At 40.7% G+C, this 20,164-nt stretch overlaps 1 long non-coding RNA gene across 1 annotated transcript in view; it reads left to right on the forward strand.

Moving 5' to 3' along the window:
* Positions 1–11,195: 11,195 nt before the first annotated feature.
* LOC105372028 (uncharacterized) overlaps positions 11,196–20,164 on the forward strand; it is a 40,865-nt gene continuing 31,896 nt past the window's right edge. The window contains exons 1-2 of the long non-coding RNA NR_134604.1: positions 11,196–11,419; positions 12,090–12,172. This is a non-coding gene — a long non-coding RNA (uncharacterized LOC105372028). The remainder of the gene's footprint in view (positions 11,420–12,089; positions 12,173–20,164) is intronic.

Genomic DNA, 20,164 nt, shown 5'->3' on the forward strand with positions numbered 1-20,164 from the left:
TCTCTTTTGATCTTTGTTGGTTTAAAGTCTGTTTTATCAGAGGCTAGGATTGCAACCCCTGCCTTTTTTTGTTTTCCATTTGCTTGGTAGATCTTCCTCCATCCTTTTATTTTGAGCCTATGTGTGTCTCTGCACGTGAGATGGGTTTACTGAATACAGCATACTGATGGGTCTTGACTCTTTATCCAATTTGCCAGTCTGTGTCTTTTAATTGGAACATTTAGTCCATTTACATTTAAAGTTAATATTGTTATGTGTGAATTTGATCCTGTCATTATGATGTTAGCTGGTTATTTTGCTCGTTAGTTGATGCAGTTTCTTCCTAGTCTCGATGGTCTTTACATTTTGGCATGATTTTGCAGTGGCTGGTACCGGTTGTTCCTTTCCATGTTTAGCGCTTCCTTCAGGAGCTCTTTTAGGGCAGGCCTGGTGGTGACAAAATCTCTCAGCATTTGCTTGTCTGTAAAGTATTTTATTTCTCCTTCGCTTATGACGCTTAGTTTGGCTGGATATGAAATTCTGGGTTGAAAATTCTTTTCCTTAAGAATGTTGAATATTGGCCCCCACTCTCTTCTGGCTTGTAGGGTTTCTGCTGAGAGATCTGCTGTTAGTCTGATGGGCTTCCCTTTGAGGGTAACCCGACCTTTCTCTCTGGCTGCCCTTAACATTTTTTCCTTCATTTCAACTTTGGTGAATCTGACAATTATGTGTCTTGGAGTTGCTCTTCTCGAGGAGTATCTTTGTGGCGTTCTCTGTATTTCCTGAATCTGAACGTTGGCCTGCCTTGCTAGATTGGGGAAGTTCTCCTGGATAATATCCTGCAGAGTGTTTTCCAACTTGGTTCCATTCTCCCCATCACTTTCAGGTACACCAATCGGACGTAGATTTGGTCTTTTCACATAGTCCCATATTTCTTGGAGGCTTTGCTCATTTCTTTTTATTCTTTTTTCTCTAAACTTCCCTTCTCGCTTCATTTCATTCATTTCATCTTCCATTGCTGATACCCTTTCTTCCAGTTGATCGCATCGGCTCCTGAGGCTTCTGCATTCTTCACGTAGTTCTCGAGCCTTGGTTTTCAGCTCCATCAGCTCCTTTAAGCACTTCTCTGTATTGGTTATTCTAGTTATACATTCTTCTAAATTTTTTTCAAAGTTTTCAACTTCTTTGCCTTTGGTTTGAATGTCCTCCCATAGCTCAGAGTAATTTGATCGTCTGAAGCCTTCTTCTCTCAGCTCGTCAAAGTCATTCTCCATCCAGCTTTGTTCCGTTGCTGGTGAGGAACTGTGTTCCTTTGGAGGAGGAGAGGCGCTCTGCTTTTTAGAGTTTCCAGTTTTTCTGTTCTGTTTTTTCCCCATCTTTGTGGTTTTATCTACTTTTGGTCTTTGATGATGGTGATGTACAGATGGGTTTTTGGTGTGGATGTCCTTTCTGTATGTTAGTTTTCCTTCTAACAGACAGGACCCTCAGCTGCAGGTCTGTTGGAATACCCTGCCATGTGAGGTGTCAGTGTGCCCCTGCTGGGGGGTGCCTCCCAGTTAGGCTGCTCAGGGGTCAGGGGTCAGGGACCCACTTGAGGAGGCAGTCTGCCCGTTCTCAGATCTCCAGCTGTGTGCTGGGAGAACCACTGCTCTCTTCAAAGCTGTCAGACAGGGACATTTAAGTCTGCAGAGGTTACTGCTATCTTTTTGTTTGTCTGTGCCCTGTCCTCAGAGGTGGAGCCTACAGAGGCAGGCAGGCCTCCTTGAGCTGTGGTGGGCTCCACCCAGTTTGAGCTTCCCGCTGCTTTGTTTACCTAAGCAAGCCTGGGCAATGGCGGGCGCCCCTCCCCCAGCCTGGCTGCTGCCTTGCAGTTTGATCTCAGACTGCTGTGCTAGCAGTCAGCGAGACTCCGTGGGCGTAGGACCCTCCGAGCCAGGTGCGGGATATAATCTCGTGGTGCGCCGTTTTTTAAGCCCGTCGGAAAAGCGCAGTATTCAGGTGAGAGTGACCCGATTTTCCAGGTGCCGTCCGTCACCCCTTTCTTTGACTTGGAAAGGGAACTCCTTGACCCCTTGTGCTTCCCAAGCGAGGCAATGCCTCGCCCTTCTTCGGCTCGCGCACGGTGCGCGCACCCACTGACCTGCGCCCACTGTCTGGCACTCCCTAGAGAAATGAACCCGGTACCTCAGATGGAAATGCAGAAATCACTGTCTTCTGCGTCGCTCACGCTGGGAGCTGTCGACCGGAGCTGTTCCTATTCGGCCATCCTGGCTCCCCATCAGTGGTGTCTTTCATTGTAAGTTTGCATTTCCCTCATGACTAATGATTTTGAGCATTTTAAAATGTGCTTTTCTGCCATGTGTATGCCATCTTTGGGGAAGTATCCATTTAAATCTTTTGTGATTTTAAAATGTTGTCTTATTATTGAGTTGTAAGAGTGCTTTATATATTCTGAATAGAAGTCTTTTATGAAATGTATGTTTTGCAAATCTTCTTTCCCAGTCTGTGGCCTCTATTAATTTTCTAATGATGTCTTTTGAAAAGCAAAATTTTTATATTTGATAGAGTATAATTTATCAATTTTTTTCTTTTCTAATGATGCTTTTGATTTCATTTCTTAAAAAAAATTGCCTAACCTAAGTGACAAAAAGTTTCTCCTAGGAGTTTTATAGTTTAGCTCACTCTTATAGTTAGTTCAGGCATCCATTTGCATTAATTTTTTTCTATGATGAGAGTTAAGGATCAAGCTTCTTAGTTTACTTTGTATATGAATGTCCAATTGTTCTAGCATACTTTCCAGAAAAGCCTATTCTTTCTCTGTTGAATTGCCTTGGCACTATGTTGAAATCAGTTGACCATATATGTTTTGGTTTATTTCTGAACTCTCTGTTCCATTTTTTATCTATATGACTATTCTTACAACCAGTACCGCATTGTCTTGCTTACTGTATAGCTTTATAGTAGGTTTTGAAATCAGTGAGTACAAATCCTAAGAATTTTTTATTCGTTTTCAAAATTGTTTCAGCTATTTAAGATCCTTTGTATCTCCATATTAATTTTATATCAACTTGTCATCAATTTCTAAAAAAAAAAAAAATGCTTCTTTTGAAGCAGGGTCTCTCTCTGTCACCCAGGCAGGAGTGCAGTGGCACAATCACGGCTCATTGCAGCCTCGGTCTCCCGGGCTCAAACTATCCCCCTGCCTCCTTTTTTAATTTTTTGTAGAGACAAGGTCTCACTATGTTGCCCAGGTTCAAATCCTGGGCTCAAGTGATCCTCCCACATGGACCTCCCAAAGTGCTGAGATTGCAAGCGTGAGCCACTGTGCTCACACTTCCTGGGATTTTAATAAGAATTGTCTTGAATGGGAAGATCTATTTGGAGAGAATTCCCATCTTAATAATATTGAATCTTTCAACACACGAATGTGGTTTATCTTTCCACTCTTTTAGGTCTCCTTTAAGTTTTGCCATTCCTTCAGTAAATTTATTTCTAGGTATTTTATTATTGTTGATGCTTTGTGGATGATTTCTTGAGTTTTTGAATTGATTGGTGCTAATATATAAAAATGCCACTCATTGAATTTTGTATATTGGCCTTGTAACAGTGACATTACTAAATTTGTTTACTTACTCTAGTAGATTTTTTGGTAGATTCCTTAAGCTTTTCTATATCAAAGATTATGTCTGTGTATAAAGATAGTTTTACATCTTCCTTTACAACATGCATGCCTTTTATTTATTTGTTTTGTTTTGTCCCACAGTGTTAAATAGAAATGGTGAGAGCATGCATTTCTCCCTTGTTCCTGATCTTAGGAGGATAACTTTCAGCCTTTAACCATGAAGGATGATGTTAGTTGCCAAAGTTTTCTGTAGATGTCCTTTATCCAGCTGAGGAAGTTCCCTTCATTCCTAATTTTATGAGAATTTATATAATGAATCACATCATCAAATAATTGTTTTCTATATCTATTAAGATGATTAATTTTTTTCTTTATTCTATTACTATGGTATTTTATGTTAATTGATTTTAAGATGTTAAAACAACTTTGCAGTTCTGGGATACACTTCATTTGACCATTGAGTATAATCTTTTTCATATGCTTTTAGATTTTATTTGTTAATATTTCTCAAGGATTTAAAAATCTGTGTCCATGAAGGATATTGGGCTATAGCTTTCTTTTATTCTAATTCCTTTGTCTAGCATTAGTATCCAGCTAATAGTGGTTTCATAGAATACAATGGAAAGTATTCTCTCCTTTTCTATTTTCTGAAACAGGCTTCGTAGAATTAGTATTATATCTTTCTTAGATGTTTGAAAGAATTCATCAATGATGCCATCTGTGTGTGAACTTTGTGGAGAGAATTTAAATTACTAATTCAGTTTCTTTACTTGGCATAAGTATATTCAAAATATCTATTTACTCTTGAGTCAATTTTGATAATTTGTGTCTTTCTAGGAATTTGTCTATTTCATCTAAGTTAACAAATTCGTTGGCATAAAGTTGTTCATGATATTCTTTTATAAGCCTGTTAATTTCTGTAGTGTCTGTAGTCACATTCCCTCTTTTGTTCCCAAATTTGGAAAAATTTTTATCTCTCTTTGTTTCTTGACTGATGTCTAGCTAGCCTACTGTTTCAATTTTGTTGATCATATCAAAGAACCAACTTTTGATTTCATTGATTTTCTTCTATTGCTTTTTTCTATTTTCTAGTTCATGGCATTCTGCTCTGATTTTTATTATTTCCTTCCTAGTATTTTGTGCTTAATTTGCTTTCTTTTTCTAACTTCTCAAGATGAAGACTTGCATTATTGATGTAAGGTATTTCCCCCTTTCTAATAGAAGTATATAAAGCTCAAATTTCTCTCTAAGCAACATTTTAGCTGTGACACATAGATTTTGATATATTGGTTCTCATTTACATTCAGTTTATGATATTTTTGAATTTCCCTTATGATTTGTTATGTGAATCATGAGATATTGAGAAGTATGTTGTTTCATTTTGAAATATTTGGGGATTTCTAAGATTTCTGTCTGCTATTGAGAAGAATGTATATTCTGTTTTTGGGTTGAGGGGGTCTGTATTTGTCAGTTTGATCAAGTTGTTCAAGACTTGTGTATCCTTACAGATTTTCTGTTATGATCTTTCAGTTACTGAGATAGGAGTATTAAAGTCTCTCTATATAATTATTAAATAGTCCATTTCTCCTTTCAATCTGTTTTATGTAATTTTTTGGCCCTGGTGATAAGGTATATGCATATTTATGATTATTATATCTTCTGGTCATGTCAATACTTTTATCATTATGAAATGTCCCTCTTTGTCTCTAGCAATAGGTCTTTTCTTAAAGTCTGATTTGTCTGATATTAGCATAGCCACTGTAATTCTCCTACAGTTACTCTATTCATGGAGTATAGTGAATATGTAAATTTAACATGTGAATATGTGAATTTATCATGTGTGAATTTAAGGTGTTTCTCTTGTAGACTGCATATAAATTGAATCTTGTTTGTTATTGTCTGATAATTTCTGCTTTTTGATTGGAGCATTGAGTTGATTAATATTTAATGTAATTATTGACATCATTGAATTATGCCTCCCATTTTGCTATTTTTTCCCTATAAGGTCCATGTCCTTTTTCTTGTTTCTCTATTCCTCTTTGGCTGACTATTTTGTGTTAAATAAATATTTTTTAGTGTGCCATTTTAAATCCTGTGTTTATTTTGTAGTCATAGCTTTTGAAAACTTAAAAATGTGGTTGCTTTAGAGATTACAATATTCAATTTTAATTTATGACAATCTCAGATTAATACTGGTTTAATTTGAGAAGAGTATAGTAACTAATATAACTCAATTTTCTTGTTCCTTCTAGTGTTATTATTATATATGTTATATCAATGTCAGGTATAAACCAAAAATATGGTGTTGTAATTAATGCCCTAAACAACGTTATGTCTATAAAAAATTATAGTATAAGAAAAGAAAAAAACATATGATCTTCAATCTTTAATATTTACCAATTTACTTGCCATTTCACATTCTCTTTATTTCTTTCTGGAGATTTCAGTTACTCTATTTCCTTTCATCTTGAAGAACTTAAATTTTAGTATGTATTGTAGCAAAGTTCTGCTGTAAAGGAATTTTCTCATTTTGTCTACCTGGAAGTTTCTTTAATTTCTTTTTGAACAATGATTTTACTGAATGTAGAATTTCAGGTTGACTTTTTTTTCTTTCAGTGCTTTGAATATGGTATTCCACTGCCCACTGGGTTACATTGTTTCAGATGAAAATCAGTTGCTTATTCTGTTATTCTTTTGTCCAGGATTAGTCATTTTCTTTTGCTGCTTTAGAAATCTTCTCTTTGTTTTTATCTTCTGGTAGTTTGACAATGATGTATCTCTATGTGGTTCTCTTTGTGCTTATTTTATCTGATGCTTGTTGAGCTTCTTGGATCTGTAAGTTAATGATTTTCAAGTTTTCAAGTTTTGGGAGATTTCAGCCATTATTTCTTCAGTGAATTGTCTTCTGCTGGAACTCCCATCACACATATGTTGAAATGCTTGATGTTATCTGGCAAGCCTTTGAGGATCTGTTTATTTTTCTCCCTTTATTTCTCTCTGTTCTTCAGATTTAACAGTTTCCATTTATCCATCTTCAAGTTTCCTCTTCTTTCTTTTGCCATTTCAAGTTTGCAGTTGTTCCTAGCTGGTGATTTTTTTTTCTTTCAGTTATACTCTTAAACTCTAGAATTTCCATTTGGTTCTTTCACATAGTTTCTATTTCTCTGTGTGGACTTCTTACTTCTTGACCAGTTGTTAGCATATTTTTCTTTTATCCTTTGAGCATCATTTTCTCTAACTCTTTTTTGTTTATTGTTTTAGTTTAATTATTTGAACATATCTATAACAGCTGTGTAAAGTCTTGCCTGCTAAGCCTAACATCTAGGATCACTCAGAGTCAGTTTCTAAAAATTGTTTCCTCCCAAATCCTCCAAGTACAGGTCATACTTTCCTGTTTTTTACATGTCTAGAAATTTACATTGTGGAAAACCTCTCCCACACAATATGCAACTGCTGATGCCTTGGCCCATCTGTTTTTTCTATTTCTATTTTTTAACCTGGCTCTCTAGAGGTCACTCCTCTGTCTGTATAGTTTAATGGTCAACTAATGACGGCTCAAGCTTCGTTCAAACACCTTGAACCTATTAGACTTCCATCCTGTGCCAATTGAGTTATGTGAGGAACATATTCAAAGTTGCAGCCAGTTCTCACGTCTCCCTTGGTTTATCACATTTCCTAAGGGACCTCTGGATCTCTCCTACACACGGGTAGTTTAGCCATCAGCCAGGGATGTGTGGAGAGCTTATCTCAGCCCTTTCATGATGTTCTAAATTCCAAGATTGCCTTATTAAATTTCTGGCTGGTCAGTCACTCACCTTAAACTGAGAAACACAACCTAAGTCTAGAAAAGCTGCAGGTTTTTACAGTCTATTCCAAACCAAAGCTGCCATATTTAGCTGTGAATGTAATAGAAGTTTGTTCCTTCCCCTATACCCCAAGGCAAGCCTGCCTTCTTTGGCAGCAAAATCCCTTTCTAATTACAGCCCGCCTAGGTTGGTATGGCCATATTCTTGCCAATTGAACTGAGGAAGGGGAGCATAGGAACAGCCCAGGCAAGAGGCCACAGACTTCCATCATTCTTGCCCAAAAACTCAATCAGTTTTTGTGTATTAGAATAAATTCTGCTTAATTTATTTTTTGGCTTTGGTAGGTTTCTGCATGCCAAAACAAATTTTTTAAAAGACAATTTTGTCCATTTTATGCTTGTTTTCTCTAAAGGAGGATACCTGACCTCTTCATTATTTCTATTTTCGAGGCAAGGTCTTGCTCTGTCACCTGGGCTGGAATGCAGCAGCATGATCATAGTTCACTACAAACTCAAACTCCTGGGCTCAAGTGATCCCCCACTTCAGCCTCTTGAGTAGCTGAGACTACAGCACACCCACACCTGGCTATTTTTTTGTTATATTTTGTAGAGACAGGGTCTCGCTATGCTGCCCAGACTTGTCTTCAACTCCTGGCTTCAAGTGATTCTCACTCTTTGACCTCCCAAAATACAGGGATTACAGGCATGAGCCACCATGCCTGGCCATTATTTTTATCTTTAAATTTTATAGGTACATAGTAAGTGTATATATTTATGTGGTACTTGAGATATCTTATGTTGCCAATACCAGAAGGTAAAATCTGCTTCTATAATAAATTTGCTAGAAAGTAGTATTTAATAAATATGTGTTGAGCATGATTTGTTGAAAGGCAGACTCTGTGCTGAAAAGCCTTCAGAGCATAATAAACTAAGTATCTCAAGATGCCAGGTTATTCTAGGAACAAAAATAAATGTTTGTCAAGTGAATACATGATCTAAAGCATCAGCCAACTTTTTCTTTGCTTTTATGAGAAATTGAGGAATAATAACCTAGAAACTCTTTTGAAGCTTTTTTTTTTTTTTTTTTTTTTTGATGGAGTCTCGCTCTGTCACCCAGGCTGCAGTGCAGTGGCATGATCTCGGCTCACTGCAACCTCCGCCTCCTGGATTCAAGCAATTCTCCTGCCTCAGCCTCCCCAGTAGCTGGGACTACAGGCACCTGCCACCACGCCCAGCTAATTTTTTGTATTTTTAGTAGAGATGGGGTTTCACTGTGTTTCAATCTCCTGGCCTTGTGATCTGCCTGCCTTGGCCTCCCAAAGTGCTGGGATTACAGGCGTGAGCCACCACGCCTGGCCTGAAGCTTTGTTTTGATAATAAATGTATTGATTTATTTGAGCTATTATATTAGATTCTGCTAAGATAATAAAAATTCCGTACTCTTCTACATCTTAAGAAGCCTTTTGCAGAGGTTCAATATCACTTACTTTTCGTTTACATAAAGAAAGGCAGAGCAATTACAATATAGGTAACCTTTCCCTGTAAAGGTTCTTACCCTCTTCTAGTTCAAATTCTGCATGAGCTTGTTGGAAGTTTTGGTGATATTCACCAAATGTGTCAATAGGATGGTGCTGTGTTTAATTAATAAATGTTTCCATTTAGGGATTAAACAAATTCTAGCTGTGAAGGAAGCCATCTTCATAAAGCCAGGTATTTCTGAATTAGGTTGGTGGATTGGGTTTATTATCTCGCTAAAAGCTTCATTTAATCTGAAACTATACATCAGAGGTCTCAGATTGACAGCCTGGATCCAGCCCACAAACATGTTTTATTTGGCCTGCACAGTGTTCTAACAAACTCTCTTGTTATCATTTAAAAATCAGAGATCTTGTGCAGCAATATAGATTTTCTAATTTGAAGATCTCACAACACAGCTTTGCTTCCCTGAGGCAACAGTTGGCCATCAGCCCTTTAGAAGGTCCTGGAGCTCTGCTCTCCAGCTCACCTCAGTCCTTGCCTAGCCCCACCTGATTCGCTTTTTAATGACCACCTGGCCCTGTAGACATTTGATTTCAAGATTTTTTGGGACTGTGAATTTCTCTAAGGCCAGGTGGCTACCAGGGGGATAAATTGGTCATCAGTGGAGGATTAAGCTGCATGTATTTATCATAAAAGAACTTGGATCAAATAAGAAGTATTTGAGCCAGGTTAGAGAATAATATTCTGCATCCAGAGTATATATCAGTGAAATCATTTAAAACTGAATTTGGAGAGATTTGGATAAAAAGTGTTTGAGCCAGGTTAGGGAATAATTTTTTTCATCCACAGTATATATCAGTGAAATCATTTAAAACTGAATTTGGATAGATAGGAGGAATAAGTTCTAGTGTTCTATGCCAGTGTAGGATGACTATAGTTAACACTAATACATTAAATAGTTTCCAATAGCTAGAAGAAGGATATTGAATGTTCCCAGCACAAAGAAATGATAAATGTTTGAGATAATGGATATGTTAATTACCCTGATCTGATCAATATACATTATATGTATCAAAACACCACTATGTACTCCATAAATATGTACAATCATTATGTCAATTAAAACAATTTAAAAAATTTTTTTAAAAATCTAAAAAGCCAAAATGGGGGTAGATGAAGAATAGCATTGCTGTATCTAAAATAATTAAATTGAAATAATATAACTGCAATGTATTTATTCATTTATTGTTCATTGATTCACAAAATATTTACAGATCGAGTGTTTCTGGTTCACCATCATCTCTCTCTAGGACCTGAAGTTCCTCATATATAATAACCATAATATAATAAGTATTCTATACCTAATAAACTCTCCCATATACATTCTGTGGATAAATAAATGAATGAATTGCATCCATATTATTTCATTGCTCTAGAAAATGAGATAACTTGCTGGGCAAGGTGGCTCACGTCTGTAATCCCAGCACTTTGGGAGGCCGAGGCGGGCGGATCACGAGGTCAGGAGATCGAGACCATCCTGGCTAACATGGTGAAACCCCGTCTCTACTAAAAATACAAAAAAAAAAAAAAAAAAAATTAGCCGGGCGTGGTGGCAGGCGCCTGTAGTCCCAGCTACTAGGGAGGCAGAGGCAGGAGAATGGCGTGAACCTGGGAGGTGGAGCTTGCGGTGAGCCAAGATCGTGCCACTGCACTCCAGCCTGGGCGACAGAGTGAGACTCTGTCTCAAAAAAAAAAAAAAAAAAAGAAAGAAAAAGAAAATGAGATAACTTACTTCCTCAATTTTCCCCCTCCCAGCAACCCTCAAATTTCTATTTTAATTGATTTAAAATTACTATCTAGTGTATTAGTAAATTTTTTCACACTTCGTTAGTGAAAAAAAAAAGAATTTTAAAAAACCAACCTGAAATATTAGACTTTTTACCTGTAACTGGGTCTGAACAATCTAGTTCTCATAAAGCAGAAAAAACCGAAACTTGTGGAAGCAAGCAGCTTATTATCATGAAGAAGACTTCAGCCTTCCAGTTTCTGGATGAAACTAGGGGCAGTAATATTAGAAACCCGAGTGGACCCTTTGCCTGAGAAACATGTTCATCTCTTAGTAATTTGGACTAGAGAGCATGCAAAATATGCATCAATATAAAATCAACTAACACAGATTCCAGGGTCACAAGCCCAAATAACAGTAAGATCTGTAAATATCAAGGAAAACGTAGATTTAAAATTTCAGATCAGATTCATTCCTCCACTCACAGCTTATACATATTGTGGTCAGAAGCTGGAAGTAAGCCTATGCTCTAATTAACTCTGCTCTGGGAGGCGAGGCTCTCACGAGAGAGAGGAGAGAGATGGGGGTGGGGGGTGGAGAGGATTGGGAGCACTTCAGAGAAAAGATCTGAGAGAAAAGCCTGGGACTCTGCCACCCAGCTCCCTGGCCCCTGGGAGAAGCCATGGCAGATATTTGGGATGAGGCAGCATGCTGGTCCCTCAGCAGCATCCTTATCACGTCAGCTGTGGTAAGTGATATTCTTGATACTTGCTGTTTTGCCAGAAGTTAGAATATCGCTTTTCTCTTGAATTGATACATGCTGCTTAGAAGCCACTGGGTTTCTTGGCATGTCTATTTAGAATTACAGATAACCCAGTAAAAATTTTCAAACATCATGTAACATGTATTATCAATCCAGGCACGTGTAGATATTTGGACTCACGGAGACAGAGGAGTGTCATGGAAAAAGCATTGCATCAGGAATCAGGAGGCCTGGGGCCTAATTGAATCTTTGACTCTAATGTGATTTTAGCAAGGGGGCTTAACTGCACGGAGGCACTGTCTTCTCTTCATGGGAGACCATCCCCGATCATTGCTGCTATCTCCATAAATCCCAAAGGGAAATGATACTCAGTCTATTCCAGAGCTGCAAGACTTACAATCTCCCGGTCAGGATTTTTAGGCTCTAATCCATGTAAGAGATCCTGGTCTTTTAGCAGAAATAGAAATGTTCTCAAGTAGGGCACGCTGTTAGAGAATTTTTAAAAATAAATTGGGAAGTCATTGGTAATTTGTAGTAAGAAGAAAGACTTGTTTTATAAATCAAAATGCCAGAGTCTAAAACGAGCAAGAATTCCAATTGCTGACTATGAATATCTGAATACAGCACTACTTTCTAATTGCTTCACTTGCTACAGAGAGAAATAAAACTGTGAGACTGTGAAGTGTATAAAGGATTCTACCGCTCTCCCGGGGCTTGGAGACCCACAGATTGGAGAAAGTAAGTGAGTGTCTTTCTGACCATTGAATCCCTCACTCTCACTGCGAGTTAGAAAGCTCTAAGGACTTTAATGAAACCAGTCTGCACGTCCTAAAAAGTACTGAAACAGCTGGAGAGACAGCGCCACCTCGTGTCCACCTAAAAAAACTCCCTGGCAATCATCTTTGCGGAAATTGGCCCCAGTAACTTCCATGAAATAGGGCAAAGAAAATAAATCCATCAAAGCTGACTGGATAACAGAGAGAAATGCCAGCTGAAAGCATTTTTGACTGTTGATGACTTCAAAAGCCAGGAAACTTAATCCTAGCCTTATGTTTCTTTCTCCGTGCCCAAAAGGCAGCCGAGCTCGTCACTAAACCAGCGGAGGTGAAACAGGTCACTAAGTTTATAATGTAGTTGGTTACTGGCTTTCATTTTTTCTCTGCATCCTGGCAGCAGGATACAGGCAGCTTGTTATAACTTAGAGGGGGCTCCTGGAAAGCCTGCTTGCTGGGTGTATTTCTGTAGGCGTGGGCTCACTGGGAATATTATTACCTCATGGAGTCACGAGTTTAATAGCATTTCTTCCACTTCATTCAGCACAGCACCAAGTTACAGTGACTCTGGCTGCAGCACATTGCAGACACACATTGTTCCCTGCAGCATCACGTCTTCACGGTCCCATGTGGGTCCCAACCGCGCTGCCTGCTCTTGCACACATGCGCCATTCTCACACCTGCAGGCTCTCTGGCGGGGTCTTCTCCACCTCCTACATCCCTAGCTGGTTTGCACCTCTCTCTACCCCTTTTCTCTCCCTTATTCTCCTACCTCCCTCTTCCCGCCGCCTTTCCTTCTACTCTGTCATAATGACTATCATTTGCGGCACCTGCCATCGCTTTGCACATCATTTGCCACTTGAGATATTTCTGCGTCTGTCTCGCAGCTTAGGAGACTGTGGCTCCTGGAGTTGAACACAATCAGGGGAGAGGAGTGCTCTGCTCTCCTCATGCCGCTTGCAGTCTCCTGAAGTCCTTGCCACCGAGGGAGCTTCACTAGCAATTACACTCCTGACCACCCGATGCCCCTCTGGCTCCTCTTAGAAGAGGAGAGGAGTGATTTCATCACCTGGTGAGTTCCTAAGGAGAACAGGGTTTGTGCAGCGCAGTCCCCAATGCCCTGCCCCCTACAGGAGTGAGGCCACCTGCAGACAGCCTGCATCTGGTGCACCTGTTCCTTCTCCCCATCTGTACATTTCACGGGGCCACTCCGTCCCTGTGCTGCAGAGGAATGGGTGGGGGAGGCTGTCCAATCTGGAGGCTCAGGGGTGGAGAAGCCCACCCCACAGATAGAAACCATGACCTCCACCATCAACCCTGTCAGTAATGAAGGTATTTTCATTTCCCACCTCTCTTGCTGCAGACCTTTCATGTGTTCTTCACTGGGACACCTTGAACTCTTAACACTTAGGAAAACATTTTTTTTCTAATCCAGAGCAGAAAGTTTGGAAGTTTAAATTCTAGCTTCACATGATTCAACCCCAAATGAGGTTTTTTTTTTTTTCTTTTTTAATTCGAACCAATTTGCTGCGATGTAGAGAATGTTCTGGATTGGCGATCAGAAGGTACGGGCTCTACACAGGGCTTGGAGCTTTCCAGCTTTGCAGCTTTGAGTGAGAACCTGCTCTAGGCTTCGGTTTCCCCATCATGGCTTCTGTGATTCCAGGATCAAGAGTTGGCCATTTAGAGGTACCAAGAAGAGGTGATGCTCACTTTTTAAGTCCTTCATCTACTTGAAATGAGCTACTGCTTGTTTAACTTTTCTCTTTTTGGAAAAGTTAATGCTTTTTCCAGAGACAGCAAATTCATGGAGCATTTGTCTAGGACTCCCCCCCAATCCCTTCCCCTTCCCCCAGCCTCTATCACAGTTAAGAACAAGCCTCAGGCCTTCTTTATTTGTTGTTATTCACCCCGAGCATGGAGCTGCCAGGATGTTAGATTTTTTTTTTTTGAGCCCAAAATTGGGACACTTGGATTAACAAATTATTTTTTATTTGACTTGTAAATTTGTCCCAAAGTTACCCGCTTTGAATCACATCGAGGTATGCATTTACTACTTTGGCTTTATTGAGAAGAATGACATAATGTGAATTGTGGAGAAACTGTAGAGCTTAAAGTCACCTATAGGAAAGTAGAAGAGGCAGCAGTTCCATGGCCTCTGTTTTGCAAAGACAGGCAAGAATAGGAGGTGAGAAAGGGATGCAGTTTGTCCCCTCCCAACTGCAGCCTCACTCTTCACCTCAACCTCACTCTAGTTTTAAGATATTTTAGTACCATTTTGAGTTATCATTTCCCTTGAAATAATTACTTGCTTCCTAAGACCTTGATACACTGAACACTACCCATACCAGATACAATCTACATTCTGAGTGGCCAACACCATATTTTCATCCCAAGTTCAAGTCCACCTCTCTTGCCACAGAAAAGAATGGGCTCTGTCCTGGACTTACAGGCAAGGGAAGAATTGGAGTGGAATGTGATTCATGGGATGCATGTTGGTTTTGATGCCATTCTAGAAAATTGACAGATATTGGCTCCTTTGTTCCTCCTTTTTTCTTTGGTGAATTCATTTCTCCTCTCTGGTTAATGCCATCTATATGCTGTTAATTCCAAAACTGGTATCTCCATCCTGGACATGTCCTCCAAGTTGCAGATACGTGCGCACACACACACACACACACACACACACACACACTATATATATATATATATATATATATATATTTATAAATATATATGCATATAATTATTGCCTCCTCATCAGGAGGAGGAAACATTTGGATGCCTGACAGGAATCGCAAAGTTAGTAATCCCCAAACTAAGCTCCAGATATTTTCCTCCCATGTCTGCTCTTTCCTAGCCTTCTTCATCTTTCATCTCAAAAAGTGGCTTCTTTCTGGCAGCTTGGGCCAAACCTTGGAGCCGTCTTTGACTGCTCTCTCTCACATCCCGTATCTGATCTGTCACCAAATCTGGTCATCTCCACCTTCCAATTATACCCAGGTTTTGATCATTTTCTTTACTTTCCCTGCTGCTACCTTGGTCTCAGCTGTCCACATCTGTTGCTTGGACATCTACAGTAGCCCCTAGCCAGTCTCCCTTGCTGCCTCCGATCCCTCTCAGCCCAGCAGCTTACATGATCCTGTTAAAACACATCAGATCATAGCACTCTGCTGAAAACCCTTCTGATGGCTGTCTATGTCATTCAGAGTAAAATCTGCTACATTGTACTCTTAGCTGCCTCTGTTTCCTCTCTGCTCTCATCTCCTCATTCTGTTTCTGCTGCATTGATCTCTCTGCTTTTCTTTATGCTAGGCATGCTCTCGCCCCGCATCTGTGCACTGACTGGGTCCTCTGCATGGATGCTCTTTCCTTGGAGTCCATGTCGCTCACGCCCCACCTCCTGCAGCTCTTTGCTCCAATGCGTGGCCCTCCTCTGGCTATTCTAAAATTGCACCCCTCACCACCAATTGTGTCCTTGCCACTATCTCTGCTTTATGCCCTTTGCATTTATTATTGTTTAATATACTCCGTATGCTACTTATTTATACTGTTTTCTCCGGAAGAAGGCAAGCTCTGTTAGGATGGGGTTATTCCCAGCTATGTTCCCAGCAAGTAGATCCAGGTGCTCAGTGAATATTTGTTGAATAATTGAATGAAGATGAGGGACAAATTGCAGATGAGGAGGAGAAAAGGGATGATGTAAGTGTTTCCCCTCATGTGGGCATCTGGAGATTGAGCAGGCAGTCACTCATTTCAGCAACGGCAGGTGGGCTTGTGATGGGGTTGGGGAGGAGGAAGGAGACTCACTGGAGTGTCCTGCTCCAATGGGAGTTAACTCAAAACAGGACCATGTTCAGAAATCAGAAACGATATTACTAGAGGTTTATTTTCTGCTTAGAGTTATTATTTAACTTCATTTGATTGAACAGACATTTACTGAGTAACTGCCTTGCCAGAGTGCTGGAGGCTGAGGGTACAATGGTCTCTGCTCTCATGTAGAGTAAGACTGAGGTGATAAATTCACACATAAATAGATCCTTCAGTATGGAGCAGTGCATGCAGTGCCGAAGCACTCCATCCAGGGTCTACACTTCCTCCTAGTCTCTTCAGTCACTTTCTCCTTTGAATGTTTACCAGCTTGTGGAGGAGAGTATATCTGGACTGGCAGTGGGGGAAGGGAGAAACTGTGCATTTACTCAAGAAGCACCTCATGGATGAGAGCCCTCAGGAAAGGTAATCGAGGACAATCATTGCCATATAGTACTTTGATGGCCTGACCCCCTGTATTAAGAACTTACTGTTTACTTTGAATACATTTTAGAAATTTTCAGTGCCTAGTAACTTCTCTCTGCAAAGGGAAATTAATAAACCCTTCCTTCCACGAGAGGAGTAGTTTAGGGTGTGACTGGGTGAGCCTGTCTTCACCTTGATTCCTGTGCGTAACCTGCAGCTCACCCCTGCTCTGTCACAGCGTCATTTTGGGGTGTGGTTAGTTGTTTGTCTATTCTGTCCTCTCTGGGAGACTGAACTCCTTCTTTAGCGGTTGGCTGGGCACACTGTGGACAGGGAAACTTCCTGAGCAAAACCAGAAGTATTTCTATGACTTGGTGTTTGAAACAAAGACAGCGCTTTGTTGAGAATGAAACATCCTCTTTGGGATTGAGTCTGCTTTTCTCAAGGGTTACTTTGAGCTCAAATGCTTAATCATCCTTCCTCCAGGTGCCAGAGATAATTTTTCCAGAAAGACTTTCCAGGCGTTTCTTCCCCACCACCCACAGTCTGGATCAAATGCCTCCTTCATGTGCCTCAAGCACCCCAAATTTCCTTTGTTCCAGCCCATCCAGAGTCAGACCAAACTTTTAGATGGAGCACAGTCCTCAGTACAGATAGAAGTCTGCCCAAGGCTTCTGACATCAGCCATAAGTTTGGGGGTCTTTGGGGGTACCCTCACTTTAGACCAGCTGGCTACAAATTTAGGGGTCTCCACCCCTCAAGGCCCCCCCAGTCTTGATGATTCATTAGAGAGACTCACAGAAATCCCTGAAAACGCCGTATTTAACCAGGAAGAAGTCTGGGAGGTTTCCAAACTTGAAGCTTCCAGTGTCCTCAGGGATGTGTTACCTTCCCAGCAATGAGTAACAATGCACAGAGAGTATTGCCGAGCAGGGAAGATCTCCCAAGCTCAGCTTCCAGAGTGTTAACTGAGGCTTCATTACATACACTGATTGATTCGCTCATTGGCAGGCAGCTGAACTCAGTCTCCAGGCCTCATCCTTTCCCTGAAGGTCAGGCTGATATCTTAAGACTCATGCACCAACCTTCTAATCATACCGTTGGTCTTTTTGGCGTGGCCAGCCCCAGTCCTGAGTCATCTTGTTAGTGTCAGCTGCAGGTGTGGTCTGAGGGGTGCATCATGAATAACAAACATTCCAATCACTCAGAATCCCAAGGGTTTAGAGGTTAGCTCCCAGGATCTGGGGACACAGGCCAGCCAGACTCTATTACACACAGTCCCTCCTACACTGTATTAGTGCATTTTTGTCTGTCTCTCTAATTAACCTCTTGAGGGCAGGGAATATGCTACCTTGTTCATCATTGTCTTTGTATTTAATGCAATGTAGATACAAAAAAATTGCCATATGAATGTGAAATAAAAGCAATTATTGGACAGATTTTATTCTGGCATTTATTTCAAACCATTACCATTAGGGAATTGCTCAAATCCTAAGGCAAGTATAGTTAAGGCAATTGTCCTGGTCTGGATTTTCTTTGTGTTTTATTTGGTTCCCTTTAGCCTACCGAGTTTCTCCTAGATCTCGAGGTGGTCAACTCCTCACACTGATCCAAGCCACTTCCAGTCAAAATAACTAACTGTTTTCCTATACTGATATCAATATGCAGAGAGACAGTGTGGAGATTAACAAAGCTTCCATCAACTGTATTTACGTAGCTCAAGTTCTTAGCTACTGCACAGATCCTTGCAAATGCTGGAACAATCAGTTTCCTTTCTTAAATGCTCATTCTGCAAGAAACTATCTGCTTTATTTGTTTTAATTCTTTTTGCTGCTATGGTGTAGCTAAAGTAATGCTGACATGTGGCAGGGAGGTTTCAACTGCTGTAACTTCCATTGAAATGAAAGCTACTTCCAGGCTTTATTATAGTCACTTTTTTAAGGCAAAAGGTTTTCCCCATCTTTATGAGTCAAAGTACCTTTGTTCTGTGATTACCTTTTATGCTGCATTGTTAAATGTCTCCCTGGCTACCCAAAACACCCCTTCTCACTGGCTGTGGTAATCTATGATTCTAGCTTTAACCATTTTGTGCCAATGACTTTGTAGAGTATACACTGAGGATAATGGTAGAAAATGGGGGCAAAGGGGAATTAGACTATGGAGGAGCCATGGAAAGAAAACCATCCCTCTGGCCAGGCGTAGTGGCTGACGCCTGTAATCCTAGCACTTTGGGAGGCCGAGGCAGGTGGATCACAAGGTCAGGAGATTGAGACCATCCTGGCTAACACGGTGAAACCCCATCTCTACTAAAAATACAAAAAGTTAGCTGGGCGTGGTGGCATGCGCCTGTAGTCCCAGCTACTCCGGAGGCTGAGGCAGGAGAATCGCTTGAACCCAGGAGGTGGAGGTTGCAGTGAGCCGAGATCACGCCACTGCACTCCAGCCTGGGTGACATGGCGAGACTCTGTCTCAAAAATAAAATAAAATAAATAGAAAACCATCCCTCTGAGGGGCTCTAGCAGGGAAGGAAGAATAGCTGCCAGCCATGAATACGAGGTGACTCTCCTGCTCCAGCAGGGGCTACTGGCATGTTCCCTGATAAGAGTTCCATGATGCCAACTCTGAAGTGGCATTTGCTTGCCAGCTGCAGAGCATGCATTCTTCCTGGACTTTGGCTTGCCCCTGAGTCTAGGAGACATTTGAGGAATGGGTGGTGGGAAGAGGCAGGTGCTTTGTTGGGATAAAAGGAAAGCATTTAACCATTGTTGGCCTCATCTCAGGCTCCAATGAAAAGCAGCATCCGCATGAAGAGTTAAGACAGCTTAAGAACAGCTTAAGTATTCCATATTCTTTCCAGAAATTTTAGAAAATAAAGATAAGCAAAAGATGTTCTTATCCTTATATAACACTATAAAATATATGAAAAGGACCTGGGCTCTATCCAAGGTCATCAAATGTTCAAAGTCCAACTCTTGGAGAACCCGTGATGTGAGGGACCACGCTGATCCTTTTCTTCTTTTCGCTTCTCTTTCTCTTCCTGTCCCCTTTGATACAGAACAATGCGAATATTGAGACAATGGGTCAGGCTACATGGCTTTTACAGGGCACGCGCTGCTGGCTTGTGGTGTGCCACCTGAAGGGATGACAATTCTGTGACAGGCAGGGCTGAGGGGAGCCCAGGTCCCGGGCCAGATCCAACCCCTGGTGGAAACGCGCACTTGCTATTGTGTGTGTGTGTGGAGTAACAGTGACATCCTGTGGCCAGTCTGGTTGATCTAAGTGGCTCCTTTATAGATAAAGAAGACCGTTTTGTCTGCACTGAAAGGTGTGCATGCACTTTAGACAATGCACAAAAGAAAGAGGCAGTGCAGAATCGCCACCGCGAGCCTTCCAGCAGCTCATTTTCAGCGGCTGTCTCTGACTTAGGTGGGGGAGATTCTTGGGACTGAGATGATGTCTGTTTCTATGCTTGATCAATTTAAATGTTACCATTTGAGTGTGGGGTGAGCCATAATAGTAACTGGGAGAACAGTGTGAGAAAATAGTGATAGGGAAGAGAAGAGCTTCTCTTTGTAAGACAGCCCTGTGGATTAATGCAGAATATAATCTGTTACTTTAAAATGCCTAAGTTGCTTGACATTTAGTATTTTATTTTTACAGTTTTTGGATGAAATAACTTCATTTTGACCTTATTTAAAGCAGAGGAGGGAGGGGTTGGAGA

Source organism: Homo sapiens, chromosome 18 (assembly GCF_000001405.40).
Source record: "Homo sapiens chromosome 18, GRCh38.p14 Primary Assembly".
Lineage (NCBI taxonomy): Eukaryota > Metazoa > Chordata > Mammalia > Primates > Hominidae > Homo > Homo sapiens.